Source organism: Homo sapiens, chromosome 22, assembly GCF_000001405.40.
Source record: "Homo sapiens chromosome 22, GRCh38.p14 Primary Assembly".
Taxonomy (NCBI): Eukaryota; Metazoa; Chordata; class Mammalia; order Primates; family Hominidae; genus Homo; species Homo sapiens.
The window spans coordinates 26425084-26447505 of NC_000022.11; the positions used below are offsets into that span (position 1 = coordinate 26425084).

At 50.2% G+C, this 22422-nt stretch overlaps 2 protein-coding genes across 10 annotated transcripts in view, besides 5 other annotated features; one reads left to right on the plus strand and one right to left on the minus strand.

The window, feature by feature from the left end:
- Positions 4018-4147: a silencer, noted in NCBI's record as "silent region_13567". NCBI's record gives its function as "represses an Ori minimal core promoter by ATAC-STARR-seq in GM12878 lymphoblastoid cells {active_cell/tissue: GM12878}" and the evidence as "EXISTENCE:reporter gene assay evidence [ECO:0000049][PMID:35858748]".
- On the plus strand, positions 4177-19932 carry ASPHD2 (aspartate beta-hydroxylase domain containing 2). Its single transcript, NM_020437.5, has 4 exons — positions 4177-4403; positions 8309-9418; positions 17376-17489; positions 18014-19932. Exons 2-4 carry the CDS (start codon positions 8533-8535, stop codon positions 18121-18123), a joined length of 1110 nt encoding a protein of 369 aa, NP_065170.2. The 5' UTR covers positions 4177-4403; positions 8309-8532; the 3' UTR covers positions 18124-19932.
- Positions 4268-4327: a silencer, noted in NCBI's record as "silent region_13568". NCBI's record gives its function as "represses an Ori minimal core promoter by ATAC-STARR-seq in GM12878 lymphoblastoid cells {active_cell/tissue: GM12878}" and the evidence as "EXISTENCE:reporter gene assay evidence [ECO:0000049][PMID:35858748]".
- Positions 6060-6354: a silencer, noted in NCBI's record as "tiled region #14748; HepG2 Repressive non-DNase unmatched - State 22:ReprW". NCBI's record gives its function as "represses a minimal TATA promoter and a strong SV40 promoter by Sharpr-MPRA in HepG2 cells {active_cell/tissue: HepG2}" and the evidence as "EXISTENCE:reporter gene assay evidence [ECO:0000049][PMID:27701403]".
- Positions 15464-15620: a silencer, noted in NCBI's record as "fragment chr22:26836513-26836669 (GRCh37/hg19 assembly coordinates)". NCBI's record gives its function as "represses an EF-1alpha promoter that drives an FKBP-Casp9 reporter gene in an ReSE screen in K562 erythroleukemia cells {active_cell/tissue: K562}" and the evidence as "EXISTENCE:reporter gene assay evidence [ECO:0000049][PMID:32094911]".
- Positions 16933-18132: an enhancer, noted in NCBI's record as "MED14-independent group 3 enhancer chr22:26837982-26839181 (GRCh37/hg19 assembly coordinates)". NCBI's record gives its function as "activates an origin of replication core promoter dependent on BRD2, BRD4, P300/CBP and CDK7 cofactors, and independent of MED14, by STARR-seq in HCT116 cells {active_cell/tissue: HCT116}" and the evidence as "EXISTENCE:reporter gene assay evidence [ECO:0000049][PMID:35650434]".
- HPS4 (HPS4 biogenesis of lysosomal organelles complex 3 subunit 2) overlaps positions 18026-22422 on the minus strand; it is a 40755-nt gene continuing 36358 nt past the window's right edge. For all 9 annotated transcript variants that reach the window (NM_001349905.1, XM_047441572.1, XM_047441580.1 and 6 more), the window contains one exon: positions 18026-19611. In NM_001349905.1, the coding sequence (NP_001336834.1) occupies positions 19599-19611 (13 nt within the window). In that variant the 3' untranslated portion in view covers positions 18026-19598. The remainder of the gene's footprint in view (positions 19612-22422) is intronic.

A 22422-nucleotide genomic window follows, 5' to 3' on the forward strand; every position in this document is an offset into this window, starting at 1 on the left:
ATGTTGTTCCGGAGTATTTAAACACCTTTGAAAATATTAAATTAAAACATCACAAAAAATGCTGGAGTTTCCCTTGCCTACTGCTCCCAATTCCTTGTTCCTTCTTGGTCCCCCCTGAAGTTACAACTCTTAGGAATTTGGTGTGCTTCCTCTGAGGGATATTATCTGCATTTACAAACGTAATTATTTTGCATTTTATATAGGAGAACATACTAGTGTGTTCTTCTAGTGCTTTCCCTGCTTTTATATAAATACATGTGTATACCCACATGTGTACAGGTGCGTGTTATGTAGATAAAATCATACTACAATCATAATTCTGCTTTTTTTTTAATTTTCACCCTATTATTTTTCTAGGAGCTTTATCCACGTTGCTATATATACATCTAGCTCCTGCTTTTAGTAGCTTCACAGTATTACGTAATATGAAAAAACAACTAGTCTTCCATCTATCCCAGAATCCCTCTAGGTTAGATATAGCATAGCGAAATTGTTGGTTTCAGTGTATACATATTTGTTGTTGTTTTAAGGAATACTACCAAACTGCTCTCCAAAGTGATCATACCAGTTTCTTTAATGCACCAAGCAAGCACATCTCCCTCCCTCCCTCCCTTCTTTCTTTCCTTCCTTCCTTTCCTCCTTCCCTCTCTCCCTCCCTCCCTCTCTCTTTCTTTCTTTCTTCTTTCAGAGAGTTTTGCTCTGTTACCCAGGCTGGAATGCAGTAGTGCAATCTCAGCTCACTGCAACCTCTGCCTCCTGGGTTCAAGCAATTCTCCTGCCTCAGCCTCCAGAGTAGCTGGGACTACAGGCGTGCACCACCACACCTGTAGTTAATTAATACAAAAATTAATACAAAACTTTTTGTACTTTTAGTAGAGACAGGGTTTCAACATGTTGATCAGGATGGTCTAGGACTTCTGACTTCAGGTGATCCACTGGCCTCGGCCTCCCAAAGTGCTGGGATTACAGATGTGAGCCACCACGGCTGGCCGCAAGCACATTTTCCACTGACTTGCTGCAACCTTGATTGAGCAAGGCATGTTTTCTCTCTGGGCTTCCATCTGTAGGAGGAGGGAGTTGAGTGGACCCCGTGAGTGTATGAGACGGTGTAATGATAGGTTGTGTAGTCTCGGAGTGGGTAGGATGACTGCGCTAAAGAAGGCAGCGAGAGCAGGAGGATGCAGGTGGCAGCCAAGCTGAAGGCAGGCAATTCAGATGCCCTTGGTCCTCCTCTCCGCCTCTCCATGAGCACAGTAACAATTTATCTGGAGCTCTCACCCAAAATCCCCCTCTGAAAGGCATGGATATCCTTTTCTGCAGAATTCACCTAGTAGGGTCTCCAAGGGGTTGACAGAGGCCCAGGTCATTTCCATTTATTGAGACTCCCAGCTAATTAAAAAGATGAAGAAATGGTAAGCAGGGCTAACAAAATTGCGTGTATAGTAATATTGCCATTGAACAAATAAATACTAACAAATGCAGAGCAGTGGTCTACAGATATCATATAATTGCACTGGTCAAGGACACTTATAGGATTGATAGACAATATTAATTCATAATACAGTACAGATAAGATGGTGCAGGAATGGAACACATATTTACAATATAAAAATATCTTTTTTTTTTCAAACCTGCCAGGATAATGCTGTGATAGAATGTATGACTGCCTTTGGAGAATTCTAAGTTTGAGCAACTTTCTGAATGTGAGATGAGTCAAATACCCCCCACTCCATTTTCTCCACCCCACCCAGGCTCAACCACTCTTAGGCTGACAGTGAAGACAGACATCCCATTTAATGTTTCTAAATCTGATGCCTGTGTTGATTATCCACACTTTGAGCAAATCTGTGCATATTATGGTTTCCCAATGCAAGTGTTTTGGTTTATTTTAGTAGAATAAAAGAGAAAAAACATTCTTCCTCTTTTGGAGTTGAGAAAAGGAGAGAAATGACAGAGATGAAGAAGAGTCTAAGACATGGAAGAGGTGTATTCTGGGACATGGGAGAGGTGTACTCTGGGACATGGAAGAAGTGGGTTCTGGGACATGACAAACTGGGTTCTGGAACAGGGAGGAGGTGGATTTTAGGCTATCACAGTAGAGGCAGATTCTTAGGTCAGGGACCAGGTGGATTTTGGGACAGAGATGAGAGGTGGGTTCTGGGACATGGTGGAGGTGGGCTCTGGGACAGGGAGGAGGTACATTCTGGAACAGGGTGAAGGTGGCTTCTGGAACAGGGAGGAGGTGGGTACTGGGACAGGGTGGAGGTGGGTCTTGGAACAGGGAGGAGGTGAGTTCTGGAACAGGGTGGAAGTGAGTTCTGGAACAGAGAGGGGGTGGGTCCTGGAACAGGGAGGAGGTGGGTTCTGGCACAGGGTGGAGGTGGGTCCTGGGACAGGGAGGAGGTGGGTCCTGGGACAGGGAGGAGGTGAGTTCTGGAACAGGGTGGAGGTGAGTTCTGGAACAGAGAGGGGGTGGGTCCTGGAACAGGGAGGAGGTGGGTTCTGGCACAGGGTGGAGGTGGGTCCTGGGACAGGGAGGAGGTGGGTCCTGGGACAGGGAGGAGGTGAGTTCTGGAACAGGGTGGAGGTGAGTTCTGGAACAGAGAGGGGGTGGGTCCTGGAACAGGGAGGAGGTGGGTTCTGGCACAGGGTGGAGGTGGGTCCTGGGACAGGGAGGAGGTGGGTCCTGGGACAGGGAGGAAGTGCGTTCTGGAAGAGGGAGGAGGTGCGTTCTGGAAGAGGGAGGAGGTGGGTTCTGGAAGAGGGAGGAGGTGGGTTCTAGAAGAGAGAGGAGGTGGGTTCTGTAGCAGGAAGGAGGTAGGTTCTGGCACAGGGTGAAGGTGGGTCCTGGGACAGGGAGTAGGTGGGTTCTGGAACAGGAAGGAGGTATGTTCTGGAACAGGGTGAAGGTGGCTTCTGGAATAGGGAGGAGGTGGGCTCTGGGACAGGGTGGAGGTGGGTCCTGGGACAGGGAGGAGGTGGGTCCTGGGACAGGGTGGAAGTGGGTCCTGGGACAGAAAGAAGGTAGGTTCTGGAAGAGGGAGGAGGTGGGCTCTGGAAGAGGGAGGAGGTGGGTTCTGGAAGAGGGAGGAGGTGGGTTCTGTAACAGGAAGGAGGTGAGTTCTGGCACAGGGTGGAGGTGGGTCCTGGGACAGGGAGGGAGGTGGGTTCTGGAACAGGAAGGAGGTACGTTCTGGAACAGGGTGAAGGTGGCTTCTGGAATAGGGATGAGAAATGGATTCTGGGACAGACATGAGGTGGCTTCTGGGCCATGTTAGAGATAAATTCTGGGACACAAGAGAGGTGGGTCTGGGACAGAGACAGATGGATTGTGGGCGGGCCATCCTACTCTATGCTCCCAGAACCCACCCATGCAGTTTCCCTGGCGCCCCTAACACATCCCGTAGCCACTGTTAGTCTCCCCCAGGTCTTAGCTCAAACGTCACCTCCTCCAAGCAGCCTCCTTGGGGCCTCCATTCGCAGCTCATCAGTCCCCTGGTCAGACAACCGTCCTGCCTGTACTTCCCCTCCTAAACCCTACCCGGGGGTGAGGGTCCCCTCCCGCTAGACGGTGGCTCACTGAGGGCAGGGCGGGCCTGAGCGCTCACCGCGCACGCTCAGCGCAGCTGGCAGGGACGGGGACCCAGGCTGGCCCATCATTACTGTACTGAGCGAATGAGTTTTCCATGAGACTAAGAATCTGGTTTGATTTGCGGTTCCATTCCAAGTGCCTGAGGGCCTCAGAAGTCCGTGTTGAGTCCATCAATAAAGGAAAGAAGGCGTTAGGGCGAGAGGAAGTGAGGTGGGGGGGAAGTGAAAGAGAATGAAAAGGAGGAAATGGAGACGAGGGCGACTCAGAGAGGAACAGAGAGACAGAGGGAGGGAGAACTGAGAAAGACACAGAGCGAAAAACGAAAGAGCGAAGGAAGCGACGCGAGCCTTTCTTAATGAATGACTGCACGCCCGTCGCCGCCTGCGCGCAACCTCGGGCTGGGCGGGCGCTGCGTCTCGGGGCGCACTGCCAGGACCCTCCGGAGCGGCGGCGGGCGCGGCCTCGGGTCGCCTCCCGCACTGCGAGCGCAGGTGCCGGGTGCAGGGGGGTCCCCGGCCCCGCCCCGCAGGCCCCGCCCCCCCGTACCCCCTCCCCCGGCGGCCCAGCGCGCGCGGCATTGTGGGAGTTGTGGTCTTCGCGGCCCCGCGGAGCGCAGCGCGGCGTCGGCACCGGCAGGGGCACCGGCGCGGCTTAGGCTCGGGCTCGGGCTCCGGCTCGGGCTCCCGCGGCGTGGGCTGGGCAGCAGCCAGGCGGCGGCTCCGCGGCGCCGGGCAGGGGCCGTCCGCGGGTCCGCGCCCTCGGGCGGCGGCGTCTCCTGGGTCCCGGCAGCCGTCCGCGCGCCCGGGCGCAGGTAAGCTTCGTCTCCGGGGGCTGCCGGGGCGGGAGGGCGGCGCGGCTGGGCCGACCCCAGGACAGGGGTTGGAGGCGGGAGCCCGGCAGCTGCAGGCCCACGGCCCTCCCTTACCGGCGCCGCCGCCGCCGCCGCCCCCGCCGAGGATGCTCCGGGACCCGGGCGCCCGCATCCCGGCCCGGCCGAGGCCAGTGCTCGTACGTGCTAAGCGCCGCCGCCTCGGAGCCGGGCATCACCCTCCCTAGACCTCCTCCTACTCCTCTTCCCTGCCCCATCGTGGTCCCTTCCTCCATCTCCCTTCTCCCCTGTGACCCCTCTTTCCTCACCTCCTGTCCCCTCCCCCAGCCCTCAGCATCACCCACTTCCCATATTTCACGTGGTGACCCTCCTCCCCTGTCCCACGAATTATGAGGCGCCATAAACCTCCTTCCACAATCTTGAGCTGATCGTCCACTTTTCCGGGCAACACTCACCTTTCCATCGTCCCATCCCCCTCCTCCCCTGACCTCCTGGTGGTCACCATCTGTGCTAACCCATCTTCAGCCCTCCCCTCTTTCCCACTCTCCAGGGCAGGTGGGTGCTGAGAAGCTGGCCAAGAGAGGGAAGGTCCCCAGGTCTGCACCGGGAAGGGCTGGCCCCACGGCATCTCTCTGGCTCCTGAGTGGAGAGGGTGACAGGCATCACACACCTTGCCCAGTGCTGCTCACTGGGGGGCTTCCAGGGTGACTTGGCCTCATCCTGAGGGTGAGCAGACACTCTTTGGCATTAGGCAGCCTCTGGGAATGGACATCTGAACTAGGCTGACCAGGTCAGGCCTGACACCGGCTCTCCCAGGTGTTCATGGTGTGAGAAGTTGTCTTGGATTGGACTTGCTCTCCAACTGGCCATGGATTTGGACTCAATTCCCCAGAGCCAACTGAGCTGGAAGATCTGGGGTTGCTTATTATTAAAGTGCAGAGCTGCAATGAGATGTCCCCATCCCTGATGAGGACAGAAATAACACAGATGACAATGAACAGATGTGCGAAGGAAGCTGGAAGCTACTGTGGTCACTGGGCAAGGAGCTGTCGGGGGAGAGAGTCTCTCCTCTCCCCACTGGGTAGATGGGGAGTTGTCACTAGGTAGCTGTGAGGATCAAATGTTTGAAGCAGTGCTTAATAAACTGCCAGTCACTCTGCAAATGTGTTTCTTTTATTGTCATAGTTCAGCTTTGAGCTTGTAAATCCACCTCCGGGTGCAGGGGCCTGTTGGCATATTTTGGCTAAAAGTGACTGACAGGTATGAAAAGTCCTAACTTGAGCTCTCAGTGCTATTTATGATCTCGGGAGGAGGGTCTGAAGCTGGGGTTCAGAATCTTTTACATTCTTTTGCTTACAGCTCAGCCTTAGGGAGGGCTCATGGCTGGCTTAGTACAGAAGGAGGCTTTCCTGAGAAGAGTACAGGGCTGGGGTGTCCAGTGGAGAGGTTTCTCCATCATCCACCCTGTTTTCTGTGTCTGCATTTTGCTTGACTTAAGTGATCAGCAGGGCTGATGGGAACTAACACTTTACAGGTGCTTGTTAAATTATCACCGTCTCACTCTTAGAACATTTAAGAAAAAAACCTTTCCTCCTGACAGACTCAGTTGAAAAGTTCCAGTAGGGGTTTAGCTCAGTGATGGGGGAAATCCTTTTAGTAAAAGTGCTTGGTGTCACATAGATGATTGTTTCACACTGAATTTCAGGAACTCTGAGGTTCTGTTTGGGAGATGGCTTGCAAACAAAACATCTTTCATCTGGATTTTCTTTCCTTTTCCTAAAGAGTAACAGCTGCCAGTTTATGGTCTAACAAGGAGAGAAACAGGGGGCTGAAGGGGTTTCTTAACCTCCAGTGAGTCATAGCCTTTTCCTCTTCTCCTGAATCTGAGAAGAAATTGAGAATGTGTGGGAAAGAAAAAAAAAAAAAAACAAAAGAAAACAAAAAACAACTTAGCTTCTAACCTCCCCACTCTTGTATTTTTCCTAGAAACATAAAAAATTTCCATGAATATTCAGCATGTGTGTTTTTGACTTACTAAACATTATAGTCAAGTGATTATTCAACCGAAACTGGGAAAAAGCAAGTAGGCAGTTAATGAGCACCTAAGGTTTCCCTTTCATTTTTAGCTTAGCAAGTCTGGGGACAAAAAAGCCACTCAATACATGAGGCAACAAGAGTGTCCAGGATTTACCTTTAACTGTTGGAATTCCGAGTCTTGCTATACCTTTCTCTCGTGCCCCACCTTTGGAACGCTGGCTACTCATTATGGGATGCCACCCATCCTAGCCGTCGCCTGCATATATTGGGTGCTCATTATGACGTGGTCGTAAGTGCTGTCCATCCGCCATCATTCATCTTCATCCAGTGAGATGAACACGAACCCCATTTCATGGATAAAGAAACTGAGGCAGCCAGGCGCAGTGGCTCACGCCTGTAATCCCAACACTTTGGGAGGCTGAGGTGGACGGATCACCTGAGATTGGGATTTCAAGACCAGCCTGACCAACATGGAAAAACCCCATCTCTACTAAAAATACAAAATTAGCTGGGTGTGATGGCGCATGCCTGTAATCCCAGCTACTCAGGAGGCTGAGATAGGAGAATCACTTGAACCTGGAAGGTGGAGGTTGTGGTGAGCCAAGATTGCACCATTGCACCCCAGCCTGGGCGATAAGAGTGAAACTCCGTCTCAAAAGAAAAGAAACAGGCTTAGGAAAAGCGATCTGCCCAAGGTTGGGATGAATCCTCAACTGGGCCCATCTCTAATCTGGCTTCTCTCTGCTACGATGCTGCAAGAATTTTCAGGCCAAATTTCAGTCCCTGGGTAAAGGGAGGGTACAACTTTTCCATTTTTTAAGCTGTGAGAGGGTAGAGTACAAAAGGGATATTTGAAATTGTGCTCCCTGAGTATCAGACTTGTAGAAGCAGAGACCTGGCTGTTCTCATTGTATTAGAAGAAGCAGGATGAACAAAAGGTTTTGGAGAATGCTGGGAAACACGGCTGGGGTTTGAGAGACTTAGGCAGCATGACATTCAGGCCCTTTTAGGTTATTAGGACAATGAGAGTTCCGGGCTCTGTCCCTAACCCCCAGCTAGGTAAGTGGCAAAGCACTTCTGGCTGTTTTGGAGATGCTGTCAGCTGTGGGAAACTGAGGCAGAGGCCTGGAAGGGCTTTTATTTTCATTCTACCTCCCTCATTTTCCTTTCATGACCCTATGGGTGAGACCATAGGTAGTCTCCAGGTGGGTAGACAGAAAATGCCCTTTGCCGCAGGCATGACCTCAAGAGTGCCTACTTCCTCTTCCAACTTGGTATTAGCCCAACCTCTGTCAGAAGGGCAACAGAATGAAATAAGGATGATGAAATGCTTGCAAAGAGAAAGTGAAATGGAGAATATGCAGTTTTTAAGTCCCTTTGCCATTTTTAAGATGCTTTTGAATCCAGGATTCTTTTGAATTAAAGGTACAGCGATCACAGGAGTATAAGCATTGATTAAATACCTATGATGAAATAGCACAGCAAAATGGGTAGACATGGGCCTTGAAGTCAGATGGGGTTTGAGTCTCTGCCCTGGCTGTATAACTCTCGTGAGTTATGTAACTTCTCTGAGCCTCAGTTTTCTCATCTGTAAAATGGGGATAATAGCACCTCCTATGGAGGGCACAAAGCAGATGGGACCACTGTAATTATAAGCAGTACCTGATGCAGATGAAATACTACTGGCCTTTTGGGAAATGGGAGTGGCAGTAGAATGGGGAGGGAATACACAAGATTGCAAAGTGTGACCCCCACCAACTAGGATCCTACAGAACGATCTAACACTTTACATTTCAGTTGAGGACTTTTCCAGGTGTAAAATTTATGCTGATTTTTTTTTTCCATCCCAGGTTTGGTTTTCCTAAACAAATCCTTTCACAGGGACCGACGGCACTTGATAATGTGACAAAAACCAGCCTCTTCCACCCCACTGCAGTGACTTTTGCCGGAAAGTGGAGCAGTGGGCACGGCCAACCTTGTCGTTCATCAATGCCGCCCCTGGCAGTATCTGAGGATCGGTGGCAGCCATGCCTCCCCCTGCCCCAGCCGCTCCTTCCCCCCCACGCTAATCTGCATGGTGTGGGCGCCCTTGGGACCCCCGAGGACTGATTGTCTGACCTTGCTTCACACGCCCAGTAAGGACTCCCCCAAGATGTCGCTCGAGTGGCTGGTGGCCTGGAGCTGGTCGCTGGATGGCCTGAGGGACTGCATCGCCACCGGCATCCAGTCCGTGCGGGACTGCGACACCACCGCTGTCATCACTGTGGCCTGCCTCCTGGTCCTCTTCGTGTGGTACTGTTATCACGTGGGCAGGGAGCAGCCCCGGCCCTACGTCTCCGTCAACTCCCTCATGCAGGCTGCCGATGCCAACGGGCTGCAGAATGGCTACGTGTACTGCCAGTCCCCTGAGTGCGTGCGCTGCACCCACAACGAGGGCCTCAACCAGAAGCTGTACCACAACCTGCAGGAGTACGCCAAGCGCTACTCCTGGTCCGGCATGGGCCGCATCCACAAGGGCATCCGCGAGCAGGGCCGGTACCTCAACAGCCGGCCCTCCATCCAGAAGCCCGAGGTCTTCTTCCTGCCCGACCTGCCCACCACGCCCTATTTCTCCCGGGACGCACAGAAACATGATGTGGAAGTGCTGGAACGGAACTTCCAGACCATCCTGTGTGAGTTTGAGACCCTCTACAAAGCTTTCTCAAACTGCAGCCTCCCGCAAGGATGGAAAATGAACAGCACCCCCAGCGGGGAGTGGTTCACCTTTTACTTGGTCAATCAGGGGGTTTGTGTTCCCAGGAACTGTAGGAAGTGCCCACGGACGTACCGCTTGCTCGGAAGCCTTCGGACCTGTATTGGGAACAATGTTTTTGGGAACGCGTGCATCTCTGTGCTGAGCCCTGGGACTGTGATAACGGAGCACTATGGACCCACCAACATCCGCATCCGATGCCATTTAGGTATGTTGCAAGGACAGGGGTCTCCCGGCATGCACATTTGCAAGCTCAGCCCCTCTCCATCAAAACATCGCGAAAGCTCAAATGGTCAGAATTGCGCCTTTTCGCATTGTTCACTTTTAGCAAAAACTGATGAATTGCATGTAAACAATTTGACAGCAGAGATTGAGTCAAAAAGAAATCTTGTGATCAGTGCAAACCTAATTTCTGACAGCAGCTCTGTGCAAAGAACTTTCTGCAGTGACAGAAATGTTCTCCATCTTCATTGTCCAAAATGGTAGCCACTAGACACATGTGACTAATTGAGTGCTTGAAACTTGTCTCCTGTAACTGAGGAACTAAATTTTAATTTAATTTAAATAGCAGTGACACATACGGCTAGTGGCTACCGTATGGGGACAGTGTCGTTCTAGAGCCAAAGACTTGTTAAAATGATTACCGAGCTTCATAATGATGTCCAGGAGGCTGTGAAAGATACTTAAGCATCTTTGCAGTCATCAAGGATGAAATGATCCTTGGTGATAAGCTTGTTTTACTCCGATTCTGAGAAAATTGGTCGTATGCGTACTGTGTGTGCGGCTGTGGTTTTGCAAACAAAGACTGGAGTTAGACAGCCTTTGTTTGCATCTTGGCCCCACCACGAGCTGTGCTACTGTAGGCAAGTCATTTCACCTCTCTGAGCCTCAATTTCACTATTTGGGAAGTGGAGGTAAAAAGATCTTCTCCTAAAGAGTTATTCTGAGGATCCAATCAGATAATGTGTATTGTATGTATGCACACAGAGCCTAAAATAGAGCAAGTATTCAATAAAAGTAGGCTTAAAACAACTTAATCATGGAGGTATTAGTTCCCCAGAATGCCTTATTCCTGGTGAGTGGCGATAAAAAGCTCGTCTCTGGGATGGTGGCATCACCGGTTAGTATCTCAGATTAGAGTGTGCAGAGACAGCCTTGGCAGCGTCCAGCTTTACAAAGTTCACAACGCTGCTTCAGCTTCAGTAGGGAGGAAGGAAGAGCAGCAGGAGGAACCTGGTGCATGGGTTGGAGTGGGAGTTTCATAACCACGTTCTGCAGAGGAGCCTCAGGGCTGCCTGGGAAGGAGCCGGAGCTGGGGGCCCCCGAGCCCTCTTCACCCTCAGCAGCTCTGCTTCTCCTGCTGTCTGTGTGGGGGTTCTGAGTAAGATGTGGTTTGGATGGAGGATATCACTGCACTAAAAGAAAAGAAAAGAAAAGAAAAGAAAAGAAAAGAAAAGAAAAGAAAAGAAAAATATAATGAGATTTGAGCAATTGACATGGTAGGAATTTCAAGAGTAAAGGGCGGACTGGGTGGAGGCTTTGGGGGAGGTGGCCTGAATTCCTGGTCAGCAGTCAGCCGTGAGACTTTGAGCAGGTCACTGAGTCTCTCTCTGCCTCAGTTCTTCATCTGTAAAATGGGGAGATGGTACTTACTTCACAGGATTGTTGAGAGGATTCAATGAGTGGCATCTTACATGGCCCCTTGGCAGGATTCCTGGCACGTGACAGCATTTGATGAATGGGAGCTAGTAGCTATTATCAAGGACTGTGTTGGACCATGTGAAAAATGATCCATAAGACATAGACCCTGCCCCCAGGAAACAGTGGGAAAGGAACAGGCTTCGGAAGCAAACAGATCTGGACTCAGGTCCTGGCCTCGCCCCATTTGCTGAGTGACCTTGGGCAGGGCTCTGAACCTCCTTAAGCCTCCGTTTTATCTTCTCTAAAACAGAGATGACGATTCCCACTTGCTGGCTGTTTTGAGGAGTGGGAAGTAATATGTGTAAAATGCTTGGCAGGTAGAGGGCAGTGGACAGTAAGCTAATCTAAGTGATGGGATGATAATCCAGGTGATGGTCATTAGCAAAACTGCTGTGCGAGGCCCCAAGCCTCACTTGGCTGCAGACGGGGTGCCCTGGGGAGGTGGGTCTGACACTGGAGGATCCCCACACAGAAATCAGGTGCCGCCAGGGTGGAGCGAGGGAGCGGAATCATCCCCTGGGGCTTGGGGAAGCCGGGTCTAGGCTTGCTGGGGAGGCCAGTAGTGTGGGCTGAGGTTGGACAGGTCAGGTGGGAGCAAACCTCAGAGGCCCTTGATGCCAGGCTTGAGAATGGAGGCCGTGGGCAATGGGGAGTGATGCTCTTCTTTTGAAAGGTTTGCCTTTATGTATTGTTTTAAAACTTCAGAATGACATCTGGGGAAGGGCATTTGAGGACTGATGTGGTAGAATTTCAAAGAGGTGTGAGTAGGAAGTGATGGTAGCAAGGAAAATCTGGGGTTTGCTTTCTGTAGATTAACACTTGTTGTTCATCTGTATGATATGCATGCATGTGTGTGTGTGTGTGTGTGTGTGTAAAACATGCCCACGCTGGCTCACACTGTGGCCTGTGGCCTGTCATTCCTTTCTCAGCCCAGCTAGGTACTTGCCAGAAAAAGTAGGCCCTCCATGTTCCTGTAGATAGCAGGAAACCTTCTTGGAAGACGTCCCACTGTGGCGTGGCTTGTTCTCCACGGCCAAGGCGAGCTCCCTGGTTGGGTTTTCTCAGCGTTTCCTTCTTTACACTATCATGCCCACATTAATATCCACCCAGGAAGGAAACAAAGGTGTGTCGGATTTATGTGACCTTGTGTGTTGACAGAGAGGGAGTCCAGAGAATGAGGTCAGAAGCAGGATAAGCCTGGTGCGTACCTGGTGGCCACACCTCTGCTGGTTACCTGGCTGAAGGTAGAGGCACCTGCAGTTCCAGAACCGTGCTCTTGAAATGCCAATGCTTGCTTTTCTTCTGCCTTCTGCCTGAGCTGTGACTGATGGAATTGTCCCTGTGGACCACTGAAGACCCAGCCACTGCTCCTCACTAACACAGCCCATTTGTTCGAGACATATTTGCTGAGCCCTGCTGTGAGCTACTTCTAGAGGTGGCATCACCTAGTCCCGACTTCATATGGGACCACAGGACAGCTTCAGGCCCACCCCCCACTCAGCATCGTACACAATGCTGGGATATTCCAGATGCACTGCCACAAACTTCCAGAAAACCACCTCTGAAACTCACCAGGCAGATGTTACCAGGGAGGCAGATACTTCATGAAAATGCATGAATATGTTCAGCAAATTCTAGCTAAAGAAGCACAGTTAGACTCTTGTTTTTCTTTTCTGCATGTCATCAGATTTCTAGGTGGTCTAGCCGGGTGGTAACAGTAGATCAGCTCATGTTCCCCTTGCCCACCCTGAGTGCCCGGTTGCCAGCCGCCTGAAGTGGGGGCCACTGGTGGACACAGCCCTTTCTCTACCCTCCTTCCTGCCTCTTTCAGGGCTCGGTAGGGACAGAGCAGCAAAGCTTGAGCCATAGAGGAGCATATGGGACTATCTGAGGCCATGTGTGGGACCTGTCACTGTCCTCAAGAGCCACTGGAATGATCTGTTTAGGGAAGAATTGAGCTCTTCTGCCAACTAAGCTGGTTTGTGGGCAACAGGCAGGAATGGGGGCAGGAGCAGAATGAAGGGGAGGCGGAGAACAAGAAGCAGGGGGGTGTCAAGCCAGCAGGCCAGGCCATTTTTCTATCGCACCGTGGCACGTGGCGATGAATCATTTAGTGGCCCAGAGAAAGGGGAGCTTCTTTCTGAAACCCCGGGGTGGCTGTCCCTGCAGAGAACTGCCCATTCCTAAAGGCCTTCGCCACCTGAACCAGCCAGTAGGGGCACACGCCAAAGGAAAACGTAGCCTCTGAGTCCCTCCATCTGGGCGTCTTTACAGCCCTGACTCCCCCAGCTGCTGTTAACCATAGTGGGAAATCATGGCTTCTGTCAGGATGAGCAGTCTCAGCTGATTTAATGAAATGTACTATTGAGAGTTGAAACATATTAGGGTCCTCTTAGAGGGACAGAACTAATAGGATATATATATACACACAGATATATACACACATACATATATATACATATATATACACACACACATATATATACATATATATAGATACACACATACATATATATACATACATATATATACATACATATATACACATACATATATACACATACATATATACACATACATATATATACATACATATATATACACACATATATACATATATATATACACACATATATATACATATATATATACACATACATATATATATATACACATACATACATACACACACACACACACATATATATATAAAGGGGAGTTTATTAAGTATTAACCCACATGATCACAAGGTCCCACAATAGGCTGTCTGCAAACTGAGGAGCAAGGAAAGCCAGTCAGTTTCCAAAGCTGAAGAACCTGGAGTCCGATGTTTGAGGGCAGGAAGCTTCGAGCACTGGAGAAAGATACAGGCTGGGAGGCTAGGCCAGTCTCACTTTTTTATGTTTTTCTGCCTGCTTTATATTTGCTGGAAGCTGATTAGATTGTGCCTGCCAGATTAAGGGTGGATCTGCCTTCCCCAGCCCACTGACTCAGATGTTAATCTCTTTTGGCAACACCCACATAGACACACCCAGGATTAATACTTTGTATCCCTCAATCTAATCAAGTTGAAACTCAGTATTAACTATCAGACATGTTAACTACAAGAAAATCAGCAATCAGGCCAGGCACAGTGGCTCAAGCCTGTAATCCCAGCACTTTGGGAGGCCGAGTCAGGTGGATCTCTTGAGGCTAGAAGTTCGAGACCAGCCTGGCCAACATGGTGAAGCCCCATCTCTACTAAAAATACAAAAATTAGCTGGGCACGGTAGTGCACACTTGTAATCCCAGCTACTCGGGAGGCTGAGGCAGGAGAATTGCTTGAACCCAAGAGGCAGAGGCTGCAGTGAGCTGAGATCATGGCACTGCACTCCAGCCTGGGCGACAGAGCACGATTCTGTCTCAAAAAAAATAATAATAAATAAAGAAAAATCGAAAACTCCACAATCACTTTAATTCCTCTGTTAATAGTATAACAACTAGCATTTATATCATCATGTCCAGTTTTATAACAGCCTGTTCTTTGGAGTCAGGCTGACTCAGCAACACTAAATGGTAACTTTTTAGCAGGTCATTTAACTTCTTAGTTACCCCATCTGGAAAGTGGGTGAAGTGATACCTGTTAAGTGTGTATTTAGCACAAAGCTGAGTAGGAAGACACAGTAGGTCTTCAGTTATTGGTAACAAGGATAGAAGTCCCATAGCAGCCCTGGAAGGTTCAGTATGCTAATGTCCCCTCTTTACAGGTGAGGGTATGGCTCAGAGAGGCTGAGTGACTTGCCCAAAGTCACACAGCACATAAGAGTCACAACCAGTCGTCTGTCCCCAAGTCCTCCGTCCTTCTGTCTCCTCCATGTGGCCTCTTTATTTGAATTATTACTGTGAACGTACTTCCTGGAACCATTATTTCTGGTTCAAAGAATACATTAAAATACTCTGGCTGCTGGAAGGAAAGCTATTTCATTTTTATGCTAAAGGACATTAAATCAGAGGGGAATGCCAACTGGCCCAGGGTCATTGTGGTCACAGTGAGTCACTGAAGACAGATGAGACCACCACCCATCCCAGCTCCTCTTCCAGGACTCTGCTTCCCCCTGGGTGGGCCTTCCTGAGAGCTGTTGGGCTGACCCAACCCCTTCTGAAATCATTAGATGGCCACGGTGGCCCCTTCTTTTCTGGACATCAAGGTAGTGATGGGGGCCAAGTGTTTCTGCAGACCCTTGTGTTGGAAAGGGCGACTGAGGGTCACACATGGCAGTGTTCCAACCGGACCCCACTGGCCGGTTGAAGCATACGGCTTATTTTTTATTTTTTATTTTTATTTTTGAGACAGAGTCTCACTCTGTTGCCCAGGCTGGAGTGCAGTGGTGCGATTCGCCCAGGCTGGAGTGCGGTGATGCAATCTCGGCTCACTGCAACCTTCGCCTCCTGGGTTCAAGCAATTCTCATGCCTCAGCCTCCCGAGTAGCTGGGATTACAGGCGTCTGCCACCATGCCTGGCTCATTTTGGATAATTAGTAGAGAGAGGGTTTCACCATGTTTGAGACCAGGCTGGTCTCGAACTCTTGGCCTCACGCGATCTGCCCACCCCTCAGCCTCCCAAAGTGCTGGGATTACAGGTGTGAGCCACTGTGCCCAGCCAAGCATACGGCTTCTTACAAAGCTGCCAGTCTATTTCCTCTTGAACCTAAGCCATTACCTTAGAAGTGTCCTCCAGTTTCCCAGAATGAGGGCAGACGAAGAGCACGCCATTCTCCAGCCTCAAAACGGATTAAAAGGCTAGAACCCAAGGAGGAGAACACTGTGTGAGCCTTTGATTTTTTAATCGCAACTGAGATAGTCCTAGAGGGGAGACTACAGTAAACACAGTTACTGGGTAAGGCAAGGTTCTAAACCCAACCTCCCTGGATTTCTGGGGGTCCCCTGGTTAGGCTTCAGAGTGTAGTGCAAATGTCAGTCTGTGACTTTCATAAAAGGAATCCATGACCCAGAATAGATGAAGCCAATGAAGGAATGAATTTTTGCCAAGAGTGCAGTGAAGATCTAGATGGTGGCTTATAAACAACAAAAATGTAGAACTCACAGTTCTGAGGCTGGAAGCCCAAGATCAAGGTGCCAGCAGATTTGGCGTCTGGTGAAGGCCTGCTTCTTGTTCATAAATGACACCTTCTCACTGTGACTTCACATGGTGAAAGGAGGTGGCCAGGAGCAGTGGCTCTTGCCTGTAATCCCAACACTTTGGGAGGCCAAGGTGGGAGGATAGCTTGAGGCCAGGAGTTCGAGACCAGCCCGGTCAACATAGCAAGACCCCATCTTTACAAAAAAAAGTTTAAATTAGCTGGGCATGATGGTGCACACCTATAGTCTCAGCTACTCAAGAGGGTGAGGCTGGAGCATCTCTAGAGCCTAGGAGGTGAAGGCTGCAGTGAACTATGGTGGAGCCACTGCATTTCAGCCTGGGCAACAGAACAAGACCTTGTATCTAAAAAAAAAAAAAAAAAAAAAAGATGTCAGGCCAGGTGCTGTGGCTCATGCCTGTAATCCCAGCACTTTGGGAGGCTGAGGCAAGCAAATCTCTTGAGGTCAGGAGTTCGAGATCAGCTTGGCCAACATGGTGGAACCCCATTTCTATTAAAAATACAAAAATTCGGCCAGGTGCAGTGGCTCACGCCTGTAATCCCAGCACTTTGGGAGGCTGAGGCGGGTGGACACGAGGTCAGGAGTTCAAGACCCGCCTGGCCAAGATGGTGAAACCCCATCTCTACTAAAAATACAAAAATTAGCCTGGCACAGTGGCAGGTGCCTGTAATCCCAGCTACTCGGGAGGCTGAGGCAGGAGAATCGCTTGAACCCAGGTGGCAGAGGTTCCAGTGAGCCAGGATCGCGCCACTGCACTCCAGCCTGGGCGACAGAGTGAGACTCTGTCTCAAACAAAACAAACAAAAAAATTAGCCGGGTGAGGTGGTGGGTGCCTGTAAGCTACTCCAGTGCCTCCCAGCTACTCCGGAGGCTGAGGTAGGAGTATCATTTGAACCTGGGAGGTGGAGGTTGCGGTGAGCCGAGATCACACCACTGCATTCCAGCCTGGGCAACAGAGAGAGACTCCATTTCAAAAAAAAAAAAAAAAAAAGGGAAAAGAAAAAAAGATGCAAAAGGAGGTAAAGAAGCTCCCTTGGGCCTGTTTTATAAGGATGCTGCTCCCATTAGGACCCCACCTTCATGATCTGATCACTTTCCAAAGGCCCCACCTCCTAACACCATCACCTTGGGGTCAGGTTTCAACATGGGAATTTGCAGGGACACAAGCCCACAAGCCTTCAGACCATAGCACGGGCTCCAGAGGTGTGAGGCAGGTCAGGTGCTTTAGAAGTCAAAAACTCTCAGTAAGGCAAATCACCCCCTATCTCCTGGCCTTCCCTGAATCTTGCCTGCCTTCACTCTCCTTTCTCTGGTTTTCCTACAAGGTCTGAAAACTCCAAATGGCTGTGAGCTGGTGGTGGGGGGAGAGCCCCAGTGCTGGGCAGAAGGGCGCTGCCTTCTCTTTGATGACTCTTTCCTGCATGCTGCGTTCCATGAAGGTGAGTGGCTGCCTTTCCCACTTCCTTTTTTTCAATGAATAGACTTTTATTTTTTTAGAGAAGTTTTAGGTTTCCAGAAAAATCAGGCAGAAAGTACCAAGGAGGCCCCTTCATATCACCCCATAACACATATACACACACAGTATTGATGCGTTATTATTACCTAAAGTTCATGGTTGACATTAAGGTTCACTCTTGGTGTTGTCCATCCATTCTGTGGGTTTCGCCAAATGGATAATGACACGGACCTACCATGACAGTATCATACAGAATAGTTTCACTGCCGTAAAAATTCCCACTTAAAGATCCCTCCATCTCCCCATTTCCTTTTGTCCACCCTGCTCAGAAGCCCATGAAGCCAGGTTTATGCTCTCAGTGAGAGAGGAGGTGGTCCGATCCGAGCCGAGGGACAGGATGGGGTCCCTGCCCCGAAGCTGAGCACGTAGGGTCCAGCCCTGCCTGGATCCTGGGTCCTGACTCCAGGGTGGTTTGAACCTGTCCTCTCACCCCTCCTTCCCCCCCAGGTTCAGCAGAGGATGGCCCACGGGTGGTTTTCATGGTGGATTTGTGGCATCCAAACGTCGCAGCGGCCGAACGGCAGGCTCTTGATTTCATCTTTGCTCCGGGACGATGAGAGTATTTCCCATGCTGGAGTCGGCGAGAAGGGCCGAGGCGGGGCCTGGGCAGACTGTGGTCCGGTCCAGTCCCTACCGGTGTTGTTTCCATGCTCAGAAACCTGCCTCAGCGGAAAGCTCTTATTTGGGATTTTATATCATGTCGGGTCCCTCTTTCCCTTGGTTATTGTAAATGGAAACTTTTCGGCTTGTATTTCCTTAGATTTTTTTTTTTTCCTTCCAATCATTTGCTTCAGAGACTCCTTTCTGGCCTAACAGCGCATTCCTTTGATTGGTCCTTGAGTGACCAGAGACTTAGTGCCCTTGTAAGTCTGTCTTCTGTTGCTACTTGTTTTTTTCAGTGCTCTGAAATAGAGTAACTAAATGGTTATTTGTCTGAATATAATAATGTAAAACTTCTTGTGGTCATCTTAAAAAAAAAAAAAAAAAACTAAAAACTGCAAACCAGAGAGCTAGAGAACTTGGCCTCTGATGCTGGCACACTGGGGACCCTTCAGCCACCTGACGGCAGGGGGACAGTCTGCAGCCCCCACACCTGACTGGCTTCAGTAGCCAGGTGGAGGGGCTGCCAGACACAGTCAGGGTGGCACACAGTGTCCAGGCCCAGGGATACTGTCACCATCGCTCACCTCATTCTAAACCTTGTCAGGTCCCTGATGGCAAAAGCATTGGGCCAGTAGGACTGGAGGCTACTCTTTAAACATGGCTTTCCTGCAAAGCTGAAGCTGGTGTCCCCCAGCACCAAGCTGCGGCTCACACAGATCAGCCACGGAACGTGTGATCCGCTTACCTCACTGCCTACAGAAGCCCTACTGCCAAACTGGGCCTGGAAAATTCCCAGTTTTAGGTGTTTTGAGTCCACAGTGATGAACGTTAAGGCCACCAGGTTGGCTGATAGGAGCTGTAGGGGGATAGGACCGCGCTCACCCAGCGACATTTGGGGAAAGCCTTTCTCTGGCAAAACTGGAATAATAGATCTGACCAAAGTTTCTGTTTTGCTTTGGAGTTCTGTTGCCTATGTTTTTTTTTTTTTCATTTATTTGTCTGTACATAAATGTTCAAACACTAGACTTGGAGATAGTGGAAGAGTTGGCCCTGTGTCTTTGTCATGGCACAAAGGTGTGCACTGCGTGACAATGACCCAAGCCAGTGTGTGCTAGTGAGGAGACAGAGAAGACCTACATGCCCAGAGGACCCGTGGCCGTTGTGCTGGTTTTCTGGTCTCCTGTGAAGAACATGTGGATCTCTTCCCGAAGGAAAAGGTCCCAGGAGACCAGTTTGAGGCACTCACTCTAGAAATAGCCTGTGTTAGCTGATGTGTGAAAGCGTAGCCGGCCAGCCACACTAGAGATGCCTTTTCTGAATAATGTATTATGAGCAGTGTCAGATTTATAAAGCCGAGGAGTGGTTTGGAATATACAGCTGGTCGCAGGTGCAGGTCCAGTGTTTAGATCCAAATGGAAAACAGCAGCTTCTAAGAGGTACAACTGTTGGAAGAAAACACAGTTGAAATGCACCAGGCAGGTACTAGCAAGTGTGCAAAGAGCACGTCTACATTTGAGTAAAATGTCTACACAGATATTTGTCAGTGATGAGAATGCAGGAAAAGGCAGACATTTCAAACATACCTGAAGTCTTTTTACTCATTATCTTGTTAAAGAATCACTGAGGTGCATGATTTCTACACATCGTGACTGCTCTGCTCTGCGTTTACAAAACCAACAGCCCGCGCAGGTACCTAGCTACCTGCATTCATGTGACATGTCTGGGGAACAGAAGATAAATAAAGGATCTTGCTGAAAACCAGAGTGAAGTGGTGAGGTCATCTGTTGTAAAGAAAGACTTAGGCCAGGCTCGGTGGCTCACGCCTGTAATCCTAGCACTTTGGGAAGCTGAGCGGGGAGGATTGCTTGAGCCAAGGAGTTTGAGACCAGCCTGAGTAATATAGTGAGGCGTTGTCTCTACCAAACAAACAAACTAGCTGAGTGTGGTGGTGCACACCTGTAGTCCCAGCTATTTGAGAGGCTGAGGTGGGAGGATCACTTGAACCTGGGAGGCGGGGGCTGCAGTGAGCCTAGGTCGCGCCAGTGCACTCCAGCCAAGACGACAGAACAAGACCCTGTCCAAAAAAAAAGACTTGCTAGGCAGAAGGGGGCAAGTGACTTTGAGGCTCTTGTGTTTTGAGTGATGTCACAGAGACAGGCGGGTCACTAGAATTGATCGTGGATAGTGAATGAAGCAAAATGTCCCAAAGCAATGGGACTAGTGGGGTGGGGACAAGAGCACATCTAGGATATGTTAAGGAGCAATAGATGTCTAACTGGGCAAAGAAGAACAAGGACCCTGGCTTCAGAAAAGCTGAGGATTTAGGACTCCGTGCCAGGAGTTTGCACCCTCGGGACCTTGGGCAAGTCCCTTAGCCTCTCATAGCCTCAGTTTCTCCTCTGTGGGTATGTGCAGTATCTGGCACATGAAGGGCACTCAACAACCTTGTTTCCCTTTCTGCCACAGCTGAGTAGAGAAACAGGTGAAGAGGAAGGCCGCCAAATGGAAGAGATGGGAAAACACATCGGGACAGCAGTGGGTGTGGCCAGAGAAGCCAGTGGCTACTTTCAATTGCCTGTGTCTAATCACAGAGGAAGAAACATGTCCCTCAGTAGCTGTGTTTTTCATGTTTTTCCCTTTAGAAGAGAGGGAGACAGGGGGGTCTCCCAGCCAGGAGCCCTAGAAGCAGCCGGGCTGCCGCATGTTTCCACCTGCAAGCGAGGTTCCAGCCAGCTGTCCGGGCTGGGCTGCCACAACAAGCGGAAGGGAAGAGCGCCACTCACCTGGGATCGCGATGTTTCTCACCCTCCTCAAGTGTGCATTGCCAGCTAGGCATTGCTAAGCTAATTTACGTGTTGTAGCTCTGGAGGCTCAAGGTGAGAAAGGGGAGCCAGCCGGCTGCAAATGGGAATCCTGCCTTCCACCCGAGACAGGCTGGACTGGCCTCAAGCTCCCTCTGTTCCCATGTACTCAAGGCCAGACCAATTACTATTTGTAGAAGGTCACACCCCAGGTCTTCTGATCCCAAACCCTTTCTCCCAGGCACCTGTTCATCAGCCCCTAGAGTCACCCAGATTGTCTGGGTTCTGTCCTTGGTGACAGCGATTAAACTTGTAACACTGAGTGCTCCGTAGCATACTGTGGGGGAGAGGAGTGATCCTGGTGTGCTGGTCCTTGACTGTGGCTGCACGATGCAGTCACCCGGGAACTTGTCGGAAACCCCAAAGCACACACCCCACTCCCAAAGCATCTTTTTTCATTGTTCCGAGAGTGGGGTCCAGGCACGGGTCTTTGTTTTAAACTCATTTCCGGTCATGATTCTAACGTGTAGCTCAGGCTGAGGGGGTCGCTGCTGTGAGTAGCAAGAATGATAAGGCCTTTGAAACCATTCAGCCTGGACATTAAAGTCTGAGCTATGGCCCTGTGTAACACCGGGCAGGCCACCTAAGCTTGGTCTCTAGAGGACAGTCACTGTTTTTTGTTATCTGTTTTTGTTTTTTTGAGACAGAGTCTCCTCTGTTGCCCAGGCTGGAGTGCAGTGGCGCAATCTCGGCTCACTGCAACCTCCACCTTCTGGTGATTCTCCTGCCTCAGCCTCGTGACTAGCTGGACTTACAGGTGCCCGCTTCCACGCCTGGCTAATTCTTGTATTTTTAGTAGAGACAGTTTCACTATGTTGGCCAGGCTGATCTCGAACTCCTAACCTCAAGTGATCAGCCTGCCTCTGCCCCGCAAAGTGCTGGTATTACAGGCATTAGCCACCACGCCTGGCCAGCAGCCACTGCTTTTAAACCTATCCTGCCAACAGTATGAGCCTCTTGCAAGACCATAACATCCCCATGCTCAGTCCTTGGGTCTCCAGGGCTGGGCCCATGATCCAGATCTGACCAATCAGTCTTCCAAACTCTGGGCCACTGAGAGATTGGGTCAGGGCTGGACACGTGATCCAAGTTCTTTTTCTGGGACGACTGTGAAAGAGAGGCCACTTTTTATTAGGTGGGGTGGTGGGGGGAGGTGAAGGGAAAGAAGCTGAGAGAGAAACCCACGGAGGCAAGCGGGGCCTGCGCTGTGGAGATCACGTGAGTCCTGAACGCAGCTCTGCCGAAAACCAGCTCTACCTCTGGACTTTTCTGTTACATGAGCCAATAAGTGCGCCTTTTATTCGTAAGCCAAGTTTGAGTTGTGGTTTCTATCCTTGCCACCAAAAGTCCTAATCCACTCTGTGAGTGTCAAGTGAGGTTTTGGTAAGATGC